Below are 15,461 nucleotides of genomic sequence, written 5' to 3'. Positions count from 1 at the left end.
GCCAGATGGAGCACTAAGGAGCTATTGGGATAGTCTAGTCAGGAGGTAGAGAGCAAGTGTCTGAATGTGAGGAGGCATCATAATGTGGTGGTTAAGAGCACAGGTTCTGAAGCAAATCTGTCTGGGGTCAAATCTCAGTTCTACCACTTACTAGATCCTTCTCTGGAGGACAAAGATGATAATAGTAAGCGCCCCTGCTTGTAGGGTTCCAAGCATTAACTCCATGCCTGAGACATGATAAATGTTAGCCACTATTGAAATCATATTAGAGGACGAGCTTACCAAGGAAGGAAGAGAGAAAGAGTAAAATGCCCATCAGGCAGCTCAGATGTGTATTTGGAACTGTTTGTAATATAAATTGTAGTTGAAATCACTATGAATGCATAAACTCACTGCAAGACTGAGTTCAGAGGAAGGAAAAACAGAGGATCCAGGACAGACAGAGGAGACAATAGAAAAGCAGTCAAGGAAATAATAAGAGAATTCTGTGGACCAGCATATTAAAACCTCAGAGAATAATAAAGCCATACAAAACAGTGGTCACTTGACAGGATATTGAAGCCCTGGATGAATGTCTTCTGTTCAGTTTGCTGAGCTGATTTTCTGCTTACTCTGGCCTAGGCATTACCATCATTTTTGCACGTTGCAGCATTTAAAATAGTATCATTAGAGTAAGAGCCAAATCCCAATGTATAAGTGCCTGTCATCAGTGACCATTAGTGATACATTTTTAAAATCATCCATAGGGAGTTGAGTGTACATCTTTAAATCTTCCGAGGAAGCTGATATGGCAACAACAAGAGCACAACACTTTCTTATAGGGTACCAGAGCCACGTTGCTAGTACCAATTTCCCTGCTTCTCACTGGAGCCTAAAAACAATAAGGAGAAGGAGTTCAGGAAATGAAGACATTACCAACAGCCACAAAACAGCCAGAATTGCTGCAAAAGGTCTGGCGTTAGCCCTATAACAGCTTTGGCTGAGGCTGTACATCTATATGACATGTGGTTATTGTGCCTGACGTTTGGCATGAACAGTGGAGTGCTGGCCTGAGAGTAGAGATAAGGAAAGGAGATGAGGAAGAGAGAGATGGGTGCACAGATTTGCTGTAGGGTTTTGTGTGTTCAATTTCCAACACTGCTTAAAGAATAGGTGTGCAGAACTCCACTTGGTGGTAGCTTAGAGAATGTGCCTTTCTGTGTTTCTCCTTTCATTAAAACCAGTAAGGTTGAAGTTGAAGTATGGAGGCCACTGGGGTTGGGGAAGGGGCTGTGATCTGACCAAGGGAATCAAAGAAGCTGGCTCTTGTGGGTCTTGAGGTAGTGTGTCATAGAAAGGCAGAGCCATTTCATTTATTTTTCTTAAATGCCTTACAGTTCTTAGTCTCTATACATCACATGAGCCAACATTGAAGAATTTGAAGAAAAGCCCTGTGGTTGATCAGTTTCTCTTATAACTAAAGTAACCATGTAACTTCTCCTTCAGACTTTTTATTGAAAGAGCATACAATGAATACTTTTCCTGGGACAACAGGCATAAACTGGACCATCCCAGAATGATTAGAATATGTAATCATTGGCTGGGTGCAGTGGCTCACGCCTGTAACCCCAGTATTTCGGTAGGCCAAGGCGGGTGGATCACCTGAGGTCAGGAGTTCGAGACCAGCCTGGCCAACATTGCGAAACCCCATATCTACTAAAAATACAAAAAATTAGCCACGTGTGGTGGCATACGCCTGTAATCCCAGCTACTCAGAAGGCTGAGGCAGGAGAATCACTTGAACCCAGGAGACAGAGGTTGCAGTGAGCCCAGATCACGCCATTTCTCTCACCTGGGTGACAGAGCAAGACTCCATCTCAAAAAAAAAAAAAGAAGAATATGTAATCATCCTACTTATAACCCATTTCAAAACTTTTTAGTTCATATAGTATAGTGATTAAGAGAACAGACCCTGGAACCAGACTTACTAAAACCCCAGCTATGCTGGCAACTAGCTATGTGACCTTGACAAGTCACTTAACTTCCCTGAAGTTCAGTAATATCATTAGCAAAATAATTGTTCCTACTTTTGAAGGTTATAGTACTAAGTTAATATGGTTAATATGTGGACAGGCACTTACAGCAATTCCTGGTAGATAGTGCAAGCTGAGTGTGTACTGTTCTTGTTATTTCACACACTGAAGAGTAAGCAACCTAATCTTACAGACCTGATGCGCAGCCTTCCTTTCCCATGCCATGGCATGGAGGGGCATTTGGCAAATTATTTATATGCTGAATGAATAAATTAAAAGAAAGAAGGAAGAAAGGAACATGATTTTTATCCTTTACCTACAATTTTTTCTTTATTCTTTATTCTTTCGCTACTTTTAGGCTACTTTGAAGGACAAGGAATTGACATTCACCCAAGAAGCCTTTCAAATGCCTGTTCTAACCTAGCCTTTACTATGCCCTGGGATCCCTTGTATTATGAGCTTCCTCTGGAAGGAAGAGAGATGGATTTGGATTAAGGAGAAAATTAGGCCTAAAACCAACACTGGACTCTCTTCATCATCTGCTTTTCCACCTGCATGCTTCTCCTAAGCTGGCAGACCTTGTTGTAGAAAGTTATGTCTTGTCAATTAAAATTAAATATGTCAATTAGCACTATTGCTACCACCTCAATTAGGCCTGTTAGCAATTCTTTTATTTACTCTCAATCATATTCCCCAAAGATATCATCTTTCCCATCCCTCAAGCTTGCAGCCCACTCACCCATACATCTCTCTCCCAAGTTGACCTGCTTTCTGCTTTATTGAGATGAGACTTTCTAAGATGAACTTCAATTTCCCCCTTCCACATCCAAGTGATTTACAACCCCTCCTATTATTTCCTTGCCTGTGCCAGAAAGGAAACTGCCCCATCTGCAAACTCCAAAGCTAATTTGCTCCTTAGTCGAAATCCATCTCTTTTCCTTCCAGAGCCCTGTTCCATCAGTTATTCCATTCTGTTTTGTTTTTTACAAGTCTCCCAAATTTCTGGTTTCTTCTCTTTTACATATTAATATACTTAAATATTTTTCTACCATAAAATGACAAGAACAACAAAAAGCTCATCTTTCTCCTTCTTTTCATTACCAAACCTGCCAAAAGAATAATCCATGAATATTAGCCTCTCTCACTCTTAATCATTTCTAAACCCTTTTAAAGTGACCTCTCATACCATTAATTTGAAACTGTCCTCTCCTAAATTACTATTGACATTCTAATCCCTATATCTGATGACTTCTCCTGAGTCCTTGTCCTCCTCAATCTCTCTGCAGCATTTTCTGTCATTGATCACCCTCTCCTTCATAAAACACATCCTTGGCTTCTTTGACTTGGATTGATCTTGGCTACCCTCTTGGAACTCTAATTTATATTTGCCTCATCCTTCTATCACCCTCTAAATGGAGGTGCTCCCCCAGTGTTCAACTCTTCCATTTATGATCACTCAACTCTTGTGATGATTGCAACCATTTCCAGGCCATTGACTATGTCCTCAGTGCAGCTGGCTCCCAGATCTATATTTCTATCCCAACAAATACTGCAAGTTCACATTTCCAGCATTCTGCTGGACATAAACATTTACTAAAAACTAGACTTTTCTCCTCAACACATTCTTCCAAACCAACTCTACCCCCTGGGTTTCCTGTTTCCCATCTCCCAGACTCAAAAATTATTTTTGTGCCTTCTTCACCTAATTAGTCTCCAGGTTCTATCAACTCTACCTCCACCCCTGTCAAATCTAACACTTACTTTCCGTGAGCACTGCCACTGTCCAGCATGTCACCTCTCGTCTCAAATTTCACTGCAACCTGCTACCTGCTCCCATTTCTTCCAATCTATTCTTCCAGCATGTCCTGAATCTTCCATGACTCTCTCTCCTAATAGTGCTTTATATGCTACAGATAAAAGCCCCAAATGCCACCATCTGGGCTCCTTTTTTTCCCAGACGTAATCTCTATAATTGGTCTTTACACATACTGCTCTCCAGCCAATCCAAACTTCACCTTTCAGAATAAGTCCCACACTTCCTACCTCTAGGCCTCATCTTTTTCCCTCTCGCATTAGTTTCCTAAGGCTGCCATAACAAAGCACTACAAATTGGGTGCTTTCAAGCAACAGAAATGTAGCCTTGCCCAGTTCTGGAGGCTGGAAGTCCAAAATCAAGGTGTCAGCAGAGCCATCTTCTCTTTGAAGGCCCTAGGGGAAGAACCCTTCCTTGCCTCTTCTAACTTCTGGTGTTGCTGCAGCCCTAGGTGCTCCTTGGCTTGTGGATACATCACTCCAGTCTCTGCCTCTATCTTGTCATGGCCTTCTCTCCTGGATATTTGTGTCCAAATTTCCCTTTTTTTATAAAGACGCCAGCTCTAATCCAGATGAGTTCATCTTAACTTGATTATATCTGCAAACGCAATTCCCAAAGGAGGTCACACTCTGTATGCACTGAATGTTTGTGTCCTCATCAAAATTTTTAGATTGAAATTCTAACCCCCAGTGCAATAGTATTAGGAAGTGGAGCTTTGGGGAGGTAATTAGATCATGAGAGTAGAGCCCTCATGATGGAATTAGTGTCCTCATCAAAGACACCCCAGAGAGCTCCTTGTCCTCTTTCCGCTTGTGAGGATATGAGAAGATGGTAGTCTGCAACTCAGAAGAATGCCCTCACCAGAACTTGATTATGCTGGTATCCTGATCTTGGACTTCCAGCCTCTAGAATTGTGAGAAATAAATTTCTGATGTTTATAAGCCACTCCGGCCATGGTATCATCTTATAAGTGCACTTACAGAGTGTGACTAAGACACACTTACAGATTCTGGTGGTTAGAACTTCAACGTATCTTTCTGGGGGACACAATTCAACCCATAACACTTCTCTGCAGAGACTTCTCCCTTCATCCAGTTCCATAGGTTAAAATCCTTCCACTGCTCCAGAGTTTGGTTGATTTTGACCTCTCCCAAGAAGTTGCTTATAATCCTCTGAGATAACACAGTATTTTGCCCCTTTTATAGCATAGCTATTTCTATATATCTTCTTTGTGCTGCTAAATTCTAAACCCTTCCAGACATAGGACACATATATCACTCATCTTTGTATTCCCTCCCCCACCCCATGCCTAGCAGAGTGCCTTTTACTCATGAACTTACCTGGTTAAATCAAATTAAAATAAATTTCCTTTTAGATATGAAATTTTGAGCATTCCTATATTTTTGTCACTTAAAGTAATTTTTCACTTTCATCATTAAATCTAAATGTTGGCCAGGCCCAAATAATTTCAATCTGGACTTACTTTTCATTGAAATGTTTCAACATTAAAAACATATCTCTTTCTCCTTTTTTTGAAACTCTATAAATTGGTTTCTATAGGTCATTTTTCTATGCATCGATTTCTTCCTTGGATTATTTTGAAGTTAATATTGCAGGTGCCCTGAATTCTGTTGGAATCTAATCATCTAGCATTCAGAAGATATATCAAAGAGTGGTCCAGGGAGTCTGGCTTGGACCTTCAACTTCAGCCTTGCAGGTAGTATCCTGAGATTAAATAAGCATAGTCAAACACAGGTTCCTTCAGGCCTAATTTTTATGTTTTAAATATGTAAATAACTCCTTATTGTAGGGTCATCATAATTAATATGGTATTCCCAATCCTACATTAATTTATTTTTTATTCCTGCAGGTTTCAAGTTCGAAAAAAGATAGAATAACTAAATGCTATGCTAGCTCACAGCATTATTGCTCAAGAGGAATAATGCTCTTGTACTTTAGAGTAGGTAACTACCCTAGTTTTTCATCTAGAGTTGCTGCATATGTATATTCCTCTTTCTCTGTGTGTGTGTGTGTGTGTGTGTGTGTGTGTGTGTGTGTGTGTTCATGGAATGGCTGGAATCTGTTTAATCTCCTAAATAGATTGAGCACATACACAGCAAGAGCATTCAGACTATAGGCTTTTCGTCAAGGACACGATTCTCTTTCTAATGCATATTTGGGACTGACAGACAGAATTACTGAGGATCAGCAGTCATGGGGAGAAAAGGAAAAACAAGTGAAATGGTAGATTGAAATGGTGTTTAAGGGCCAGTTTCTCTGCATGTGCTCCCTCTACAGAAAGGGTCCTAGGGGCTGTGGGGAAATAGGCGGCCTCCGGGCTGTGAGCTAATGCGGCACCACTGCTGTTTGCATAGCTGCACAGCCCTAGGAGAGACCTGGGAAAGCTAGCTTGAATTCCAATGAATATTTACAATTACACTGCTCCGTAGCAGAATGCAATCATAGTGCTCCAGTCTACAGGTTTTATGCATCAAAAGAAAATGAGAGGAGAGCAGCAAAAATGGAGTTGCCTTTGGAGAGACTTACAAACACAGATCTCACTGCTGTGGCAGAACTAAAATGCTTTATTTCTGATAAGAGCAATTTATTCTTCAGGCATCTTCCTTGATAGTAGAAAGCACCTGACTGGGTTTTGAAGTGAGAAAGTCTTCAGTAGATGGTTTTTAATTCTGAGCAAGAGAAAGGCATGGAAGGAATTTTATTGCGTAATTATGATTTTGTTTTCTAACAGCAGACCCTAGAGAGGGGTGGGAAAATCCCCAAGCCTGTTCACAAACTCCCTCTTCTTTCAGTTTGTGTTTTCATTCTGTTCTCACAGATTGTCATTGCTTCATTGGGTAGCCCTGGGAAAAGCTGCCACCATTTTGTATCCCTAATTTAAAGCCTTTGGGTAATTGATTACCAGTAAGGCATGCAATCCCCTTGCTCATTTTTTTCTCATGAGCTGTTGATCCATACCAAAGATCCGGAGAGAGCCAGATGGGAAAAATTAGTCAGAGCCACTTGGACCCAGTGAGGCAATTCTTAACTTTTAGAGGTGCCAGAGTAGATGAAATGGAATGTTTTAAAAGGACTCCACCAGAATCTGGTTTTGGACTCAGCTGACTAATCTCTCTGACTATTAAGAGTTATACTGGATTACTATTTGCTAGCAGCCTGGGTTGCTGCACTAAGTAGAAGCCCTGTCTGCTACCCATCCGTACTTTTACCTATCATCAGCCCATTCCCTTCCATCAAGATGTCCACCTGATGCCACTGTCTACCATCCACCTCCCTGCCTGTTGACCTGTCCCACCACTAATCCATGCATCTTTTCACATATCCATAAATCAACTTGCTTGTACATATCCAAGCTTGAAGCAGAGGCAGGCAGGAGTCAAGAACCTATATTTGACCTATATATGACTAGGCATTGGCAGATCAGAGAATGCATTCTTCCTTCTCTGATTGTATCTTCTCAGATTCTCAGTGGGTTGTAGATGCAGTGGAATTATCAAACCAGGGGCTGGGAAAAGGGGAGGCTTTAGGTCTCCATGACCTCCATCAACTTTCTGCTATTCTTTGTTGTACATGAATCATGTGTTCTCAGTCATACATAATTGCTATGCAAGCACAGCTTCAGGGTGTTCCTCCTGCCAACTGGATCACTGCCTCTAAATCCCTTCTTCAAGGAAATTCTGTATCCTCTAAAGTTATTTAGTAAGTCTTATGGTATACAAAACACATATGGCCTATGAGTTTGCAGTACACGAGTAGATATTTGTTGTAAAAACCCATGGATGTGGTATTACTTAGTGCAGGACAAATAATCACCTTAAACTAATGTGATTGCTTGTTCTTTACTCTTATGGTCAAAGAAGTATTACACTTTAATACCTAGTGATGCCAGGAGGCTAGGCATTTGTTCCAATATGGCTGCTCCTGTTGAAAACATTTGGGTCTCCTCTTCTGGAAGTGCCCATTAAAAATCTAAAAGTAGGCAAAGGACTTGAACAGACATTTTTTCCAAAGACAATCTACAAATGGGGCTGGGCGCTGTGGCTCTTGCCTGTAATCACAGCACTTTAGGAGGCCAAGGTGGGTGGATTACTTGAGCCTAGGAGTTTGAGACCAGCCTGGGCAACATGGCAAAACTCCTTCTCAATTAAAATTTTATGAAATCTTTTAATAACAAAAAGGATATACAAATGGCCAACGAGCACATGAAAACATGCTTAACATCATTAATCATTAGGGAAATGCAAGTCAAAACCATGAAATACCACTTTACATCCAGTAGGATGGCCACATTTTTTAAATGAAAAATAATAGGTGTTTGTGAAGATATGGAGAAATTAGAACCCTCATACATTGCTGGTGTAATGTAAAATGGTATAGCTGCTGTGAAAAACAGTTTGGTGGTTCTTTAAAAAGGTAAATATAGAATCACCATATGCCGCAGCAATTCCACTGTTAGGTATATGCACAAAAGTATTGAAAACAGGTGCTCAAACAAGGACTTGTAAATGAATGTTCATATCAGAACTATTCACAATAACCAAAAGACATTTGGAGCAACCCGTATGCCCTTCAACAGATGAATGGATGAACAAAATGTGGTACATACATACAATGAAATGATTTTAAAAGGATTGCTACATGCTACAAAATTAATGTACCTTGAAACCATTCTGCTAAGAAGTCAGTCACAAAGTACCACCTATTATATAGTTCTGTTTATATGAAATGTCTAGAATAGGCAAATCTATAGAAAGTAGATTAGTGGTTGCTTAGGGCGGGGTTGAGGAAAGAGGAGGTTGTGAAAAGTAGGGACATAATGGCTAAAGGATGTAGGGTTTCTTTCTATGGTGATGAAAATATTTTTAAGTTGCCTGTAGTAATGGTTGCGCATATCTGTGCCTATACTAAAAACCATTGAATTGTACACTTTAAATGGGTGGATTAGATGGTATGTGAATTAATTTTCAATAAAGCTGTTTTATTTTTTAAAGCAGGTTGTAAACAATACTTGTAAATAGTATTAACTCATTAGTTTATGGTCCTAGCCAATATTTTTAAGTAACAAATAATATTATCCAGCTTGTTGACTTACTTATTTTAGAAGTTTGATCCCAAATGACATTTAGCTATTTTTAGAAATCTACTTTGAAGTGGTAAATATTTGCCACCAATGATAATATTCACAATAAAGGCAAGAGGTGATGAGAGAACTGTCCAGAGAAGAGTTCCCAAAATTTTCACTTGTATCCGTGAAATAAATGGGTCATCTCATGACTTCAGAAAGGGCAACTCTCATTTGGAGCTAAAAATTCTGGTATGTTAAAAAAAAACATAGTCACACTTCATCATATATCTATGTATACTTTGGTATACACATATAATTGGTATATACTTCTACATTTACACATATAATTTAGTATATACATATAATAAGTAAATCTATGTGTGTGTGTGGCCAATTTTTGATTTGTAACAGGGCAAGTAGAAAGAAATGGAAGCGAGACTTTTTTTCTATTCTTTCAATGAATGTTTATTGGGCATTTAATAAAGGGTATAAAAATCTTAAGACACATTTGTCAGGAAAACCCCTTATCCAATTAAACAGAGGTAGTGCAGATTTTTGGTAAACTCCAGACTAGAGTTAGAGGCCAAATAATTCATTAGTGCTTAAGAGCAGAGAATATTTTGTAAGATAGTCGAGACAGGTGTTCCCCTGGAGAAATTCCCTGGCAAATATTTTTTAAAGCTTCTAAAAGGGCATTTGACCACCAGAATATCCGAAGGTGGTATAACTAATTGTCTTGGCAAGAACTTATGTACTGTTGCTATTTACCTACGGAGAAGAATCCATCTTCGGTTCTTCCCGTAGTTTCAAGCCCTCCAACAGTAAGTACCGAATAATTTTTGTTAAAATGGTTCCTGTTGGCCCTATCAGCTGATGACAACTGCATAATCATACAACAGGAGAGGGTGTTATAGGTATTGGTGGCTTCTTTGAAATACTGTCCACTGTACTAATGAGCTCTGGGTAAAAAGAGTCACTCATGTATTTGTATAGAATTATTTTAGGTTTTTGTCATTTTTCCTTCTGCTAAAAATGTACTAAGTAAGTCATAATAACTAGCTAACTAATTGCCTCCCCCACTGATGTCCAACTTCTATAGCAACTGGGTTTGAGTGGAAACTTAGCCAGAAAATGATTTTTGTGAACTTAAGTGAAACTCTAATGATACCACCACATAAGAGAAAAACTGCTGCCATCATATAAAAAAAGTTAACGCAGAGCAGATTGATATCTAACAGAGGCCTTTTCAACCCTGCAGGCAATGGTGTTTTCAAAAGTTTGCAAGCTGACCATTCTATCTGGTATTGTTTGAATGTTCAGATGTGCCCCAGAAGGATAGATAACATTTTTTTTTCTAACCTTGAAATAGACACTCAATGGAAATGGGAAATAATGAGATTTGCCTGTACATTTCTACTAATATATCAGTCCTCACTAATGGTCGCTATATCCAAGATTTCATTCCTTAGTCAACTTGAATCCCTAACAATCCACCTTCCACAATTATTAGTTTTATTGATGATACTTCAGCATTTATTGTTTTGGGAAAAAAATTGTTATTTATTTACAGAGTTAAAAGCTACTTGGATTCCTACCTCTGGGTAGCTACTGGTCAGTCACATTACCTTTCTATGTTTATGTATGCATTTATAAAATAGGTATAAAATGCACACAACTGGACCTAGAGGAATATGGGAAACAACATTTGTTGCAAACATACCACATGTCAGACATTGTACTTGGTATTTTACAGACATGATCCCATTTTAATCCTCAAAATAATTGTGCCCAGTTAATGAGATTACCGTATTACAGACAACAAAATAGGAATTCAGAAAGTCACTCAACCTGTGACTATTGTCAAATGATGGTACAAGGATTCAAACCTAAGTGGAAAGCTAAGGTCCGTATAATGTTTAAGGTCCTTGTAATTTTTAAGGTCTTGCGTGCACGCCCACTCCATACACCTTATGTCTTGGATCTCAATTCCTATTATCTCTTCTTCACTATCCTCCAACCCTGCAAGCCTACTCCCACCTCAGGGCCTTTGCACTGGCTGTTCCTTCAGCCTGAAACCCCTTCCCCACATGTCTAAATGATGTATTCCCTCACCTTCTCAGGTCTTTGCTCCAATGTCACCTTCTTAGTGAGACTTCTGATCATCCTATTTAAAACCACAACCTACAACCCACTCCCCACTCCCAATCATTCTTACCCCAATCTGTTTTCTTTTCCTGTAGCATTTATCACCCTCTAATGCTATTTTTATTGTCTGCTCCTCTTGCTAGAATGTATGCTCCACCAAGACATCGATTTTTGTCTGTTTTGTTCTTGATGTTCCTTAGCTACTAGAACTGTGCCTAGCACATAGTATGGGGTCATTAAGTGTTGACTGAATAAGTGAAAGACTCAATTGATTCCAAAGCTGTGCTCTTTCCTCAATGGCCCCAGTAATGAGCTTCTAGAGATTTTCATTTTAAACATTATTAATCTGAATCTCTCCTTCTGCTCTCTGACTTTCTCCTTTCACCAAACAATGGGAAGAAACCCTCCCCTCAACTACCTGGCTGGTGTTTATGTTATTGAGGGTCATGGTTAAGGATCAGAGTATGCAGGATATTATTTGTCTCATATCCGTGAGGGTCTCTGTTGTGTTTGGGGCTGTGAGAAGATGACCAGGGGTCCTGTGTATACAAAGGCTAGATGTGACATGCTTCTAGTTACCTAGCAAGGGGACTGTCAGCTCTTCTAGCCATCCCACAAGCAGGGTGAGTGAAGCCCTGGTGCTGGCCAGCATGGACACTGGAGCTGCAGGGGAAGGCAAGGAGCTCATTCCTCCCCTGTCTTCTTAAAGCCTCCTAGGCCTAAAGACAAGATCCATGCTGTACGTGGCATTTGCAGTCTTGGAGGATGCAAAATAACTCTGAGCTTGGATTATATTTCTAGATGGTTACAGTTCAGAATTTCATAACAGTCATCAGGCTTACTGGATTTTGTGCTTTGCTTTCACTGTTGGATATTTGTTGAAATTCAATGTGGAACTAATTCATCTTTGAAAGCCATCTTAAACTTTCTAATAACCCATAAGCCTGTTGGAAGAAAGGCAATGATAGAAAAGAGGCTCTTGGCCGGGCGTGGTGGCTCATGCCTGTAATCCCACCACTTTGGGAGGCCAAGGCGGGTGAATCATGAGGTCAGGAGTTCGAGACCAGCCTGGCCAACATGGTGAAACCCCGTCTCTACTAAAAATACAAAAAATTAGCTGGGCGTGGTGGCAGGTGCCTGTGATCCCAGCTACTCGGGAGGCTGAGGCAGGAGAATCAGTTGAACCCGGGAGGCAGAGGTTGCAGTGAGCCGAGATAGCGCCAGTGCACTCCATCCTGGACAACAGAGTGCGACTCCATCTCAAAAAAAGATAAAGAAAAGAGGTTCTTATCATTTCCTTGGTGTCATTCTTTGTAGGCCTGAAATGAACCCACTTTTTTTTACTTTATTAAAAAATGTGTGTTTTTGGTTGACTCACTGTATAATAAAGGAAAACTGTATAATAAAGGAAACCCAATAAAGTGTTCAATACAGACATACATCAATGTGCAAGCTACCTATCTCCTTTCAGGCTTTTTTCAACGTGTACGTGTGTGCACATATATACTAGAAGAAAAGTTGTTGAGGAAGTTGTTATTTCTGAATCATAGGATTCAGGGTATTTTTATTTTCTTTTTAAAAAATGTTTCCAAAATCCACCCACCCATTTGTACACTGATACTCTATTTACATGTCTGCATATTTTTCATTTTTTACAGCAAATGTGTATTACTTTGTAACCATGCAATCAACTTTCTCAGTAATGTTTATAATTTTTATATCATTTTCTTTGAAAATCTACAGGTTTCCCCTATATTCATTATGTTGCTTTGAGTCTGTTTGCTTTTTTTGAATCCCTACCATAAAACTAAAAGCAATGAAAGTATTTTACTAATTAAAAGACACTTTTTGATTCATGCTAAAAAATACATTTAAAAAAATCATGAAACTGTTTGTTCAATGACTTGTCAGGAAAGATTGGTAGCCTTCTCTATGACAGGATAGGACAATATTTATAAACCAACAACTGAAATGCAGAATTATCTTCTGCCTTTGGTTAATACTGTCCTGCCATTCCATATTGCCATCCATGATAATATTGGGGAGCCATAGATGGAATACTCCATAGTCATTGGGAAGAATGGGGTAAATCAGCACACTTACTGACTGGAAGAGATGCTCATGAAACACCCTGAAATAGAAGAAAAAGTTACAAATCAGGATTAACTCTGCTCACATGTTCTTAAGAAATTGTTTTGTATATGTGTTTGTAAACAGACAGAAATCCAAAAGGACATACAGCAAATTGCTCATAGTGATTTTTGCTTAGGAGTAGAATTGGCAAAGATGTTGGTTTTTAAATTATCCTGCATTTTTGAAATGTTAAAAATAAAATGGTGTTCATATTTTAAATATGTCCATTTACTCCATTTTTCTAAGCATTCCTTTCTAAGATTCCAACAACTATTGATTGATGCATGATTTCTTTCTTTTTTTTTTTTTTTTTTTTTTTTGCGATGGAGTCTCGCTGTGTCACCCAGGCTGGAGTGCAGTGGTGTGATCTTGGCTCAGTGCAACCTCTGCCTCCCGGGTTCAAACGATTCTCCTGCCTGAGCCTCCTGAGCAACTGGGACTACAGGTGCCCGCCACCACGCCCAGGTATTTTTTTTTTTTGTATTTTTAGTAGAGACGGGGTTTCACCATGTCAGCCAGGATGGTCTCAATCTCCTGACCTCGTAATTCACCTGCCTAAGCCTCTCAACGTGTTGGGATTACAGGCGTGAGACACTGCACCCGGCCTGATGCATGATTTCTTTCCCCCGAACTCAGACATCAGATCAAGGTCACTGTTATCTTCCCAAGAACGTGTAAAGTGCCTGACATACAGTAGGTGCCAGTAAATAATTATTGAATGAAAGAATAAACATATCAAAATGGTATCTACTTTTTAAAGGTTAAAAAAAACTAACAAATTTTTCTTTACAATTTGAGAAAAAAATTCTTGTTTCCTGGAGAGCTAATGAAAGGAAACACACATTCACACATACAATACTTTTTTTTTTTTTCAAACTTTGGGGAATGGATCCATAGTAAATACTCCTCCCCATACATTCGCCTGCTTCACGATTTTTTATTTTTTAATATATTATCAAAAGTCCTGAGGTGACATCTCAACTTCTTCTCTACTCAACTTACAGGCAGAGAAAACAAAAGCTCAGCTGGAAGACACTGAAATGGAGGCACCTACTTTCAAGCCCAGACTTTAAGAGAGGTAAACCACATATCTAATCCTTCTTAATAGATTCCAGAAAGAACATCGATGAAACTTCTCTTGATCTTTTTTTTTTTCTTACACAAATTTAATACTTTGATCGCTTACAACCAAAAAGCAGTATTTAAAGAAACAGCACAGGTCACTTTTATTATATACAGCTCTGTTAGCAAGATACTACCTTGAGTAGCTGTTTAAAGGGATCACACTTCAAAAGGTAATTGACCTAAATTCTTCCTGCTCTGCACTCGGTGAGTCTTCCCCATGTGCAGCCCTCCCATGGATCTCACACATGGAAGAGATACAGTGAGGTCCTGGGGAGCATGAGAATCTAGGTCACTGTGATTAAAACTAATTCAAACATTATTTTAATGGCTGTGTTTAGTTTGCTGAAAATTCTCAACTTCATTGGGCGCCTAAAAGCTGACAGCCCCACTCTGGAATGAACCAGAAGTTGATTTATGGAGAAGAACACTCTAAAATGATCACACCTGTTCTGATCCCATCTGGTTGGGATATGCTGAAATGGAATTATGTGTTTCTACTTTCAAAGTATTTGTTTTGGTCTGAATCATTAACAAAATTATAAAACACACAAATCTCAAAGAAGAAACTGTGCTCTGGCCAGTTGTCCTATGAGTAGCCTAATACTACCTAATTTCTTTTGTTCATCTCAAAGAGATTTTTTTTTGGCAGATATTCACTGATTCAGTCACATTCTCTGGTAATTTTCCTATCCCAGGTCCATATCATTGCTTTGCCCCAATGATATAAAGTGTTTTAACTTGTAAGTTTAAGCGACAGCTGGTAGTCATATTCTTAGGATAATTGTTCAATTGGTTAAAGTTCTTTAGAACTTACTGGAACACTGATTTAAAGTTTTAAGTGTCCAACACACTTCCTAGTTGTAGAAATCCTGTCAGCGCCAACTAATCATTGTTCCAAACAACTTTGGAACAAAACAAAATCAACAAACATCTTTGGTACACGATCTTCCTGGAGTGTTTTTATGGCTTTCTCCCATTATTTTGGAAAATAATATTGTTGCTATCACTTTAGAACACTTCCAGAAGCCGACTTGGCCTTGAAGTTCTGACTCATTTATAAGACCATGTGTTACAAATCACAGCTTTCTGTTCGATACTTGGCAGACCGAGGCAGATGTTTGGTTGGAAAAATTGTTCTGTTACCTGA

At 39.2% G+C, this 15,461-nt stretch overlaps 1 protein-coding gene across 1 annotated transcript in view; it reads left to right on the top strand.

Annotated features, from left to right (window-relative positions):
• The first annotated feature begins 13,480 nt into the window (after positions 1–13,480).
• Positions 13,481–15,461, top strand: part of PMFBP1 (polyamine modulated factor 1 binding protein 1) — a 133,293-nt gene continuing 131,312 nt past the window's right edge. Inside the window, exons 1-2 of the mRNA XM_047434734.1 lie at positions 13,481–13,654; positions 14,194–14,267. The gene's annotated coding sequence lies outside the window, so the exon portion shown is untranslated. The remainder of the gene's footprint in view (positions 13,655–14,193; positions 14,268–15,461) is intronic.

The sequence above is a fragment of the Homo sapiens genome, chromosome 16, assembly GCF_000001405.40.
Source record: "Homo sapiens chromosome 16, GRCh38.p14 Primary Assembly".
Taxonomy (NCBI): Eukaryota; Metazoa; Chordata; class Mammalia; order Primates; family Hominidae; genus Homo; species Homo sapiens.
The sequence above is the reverse complement of the archived record's forward strand: the minus strand, read 5'-3'. Positions and strand labels throughout refer to the sequence as shown.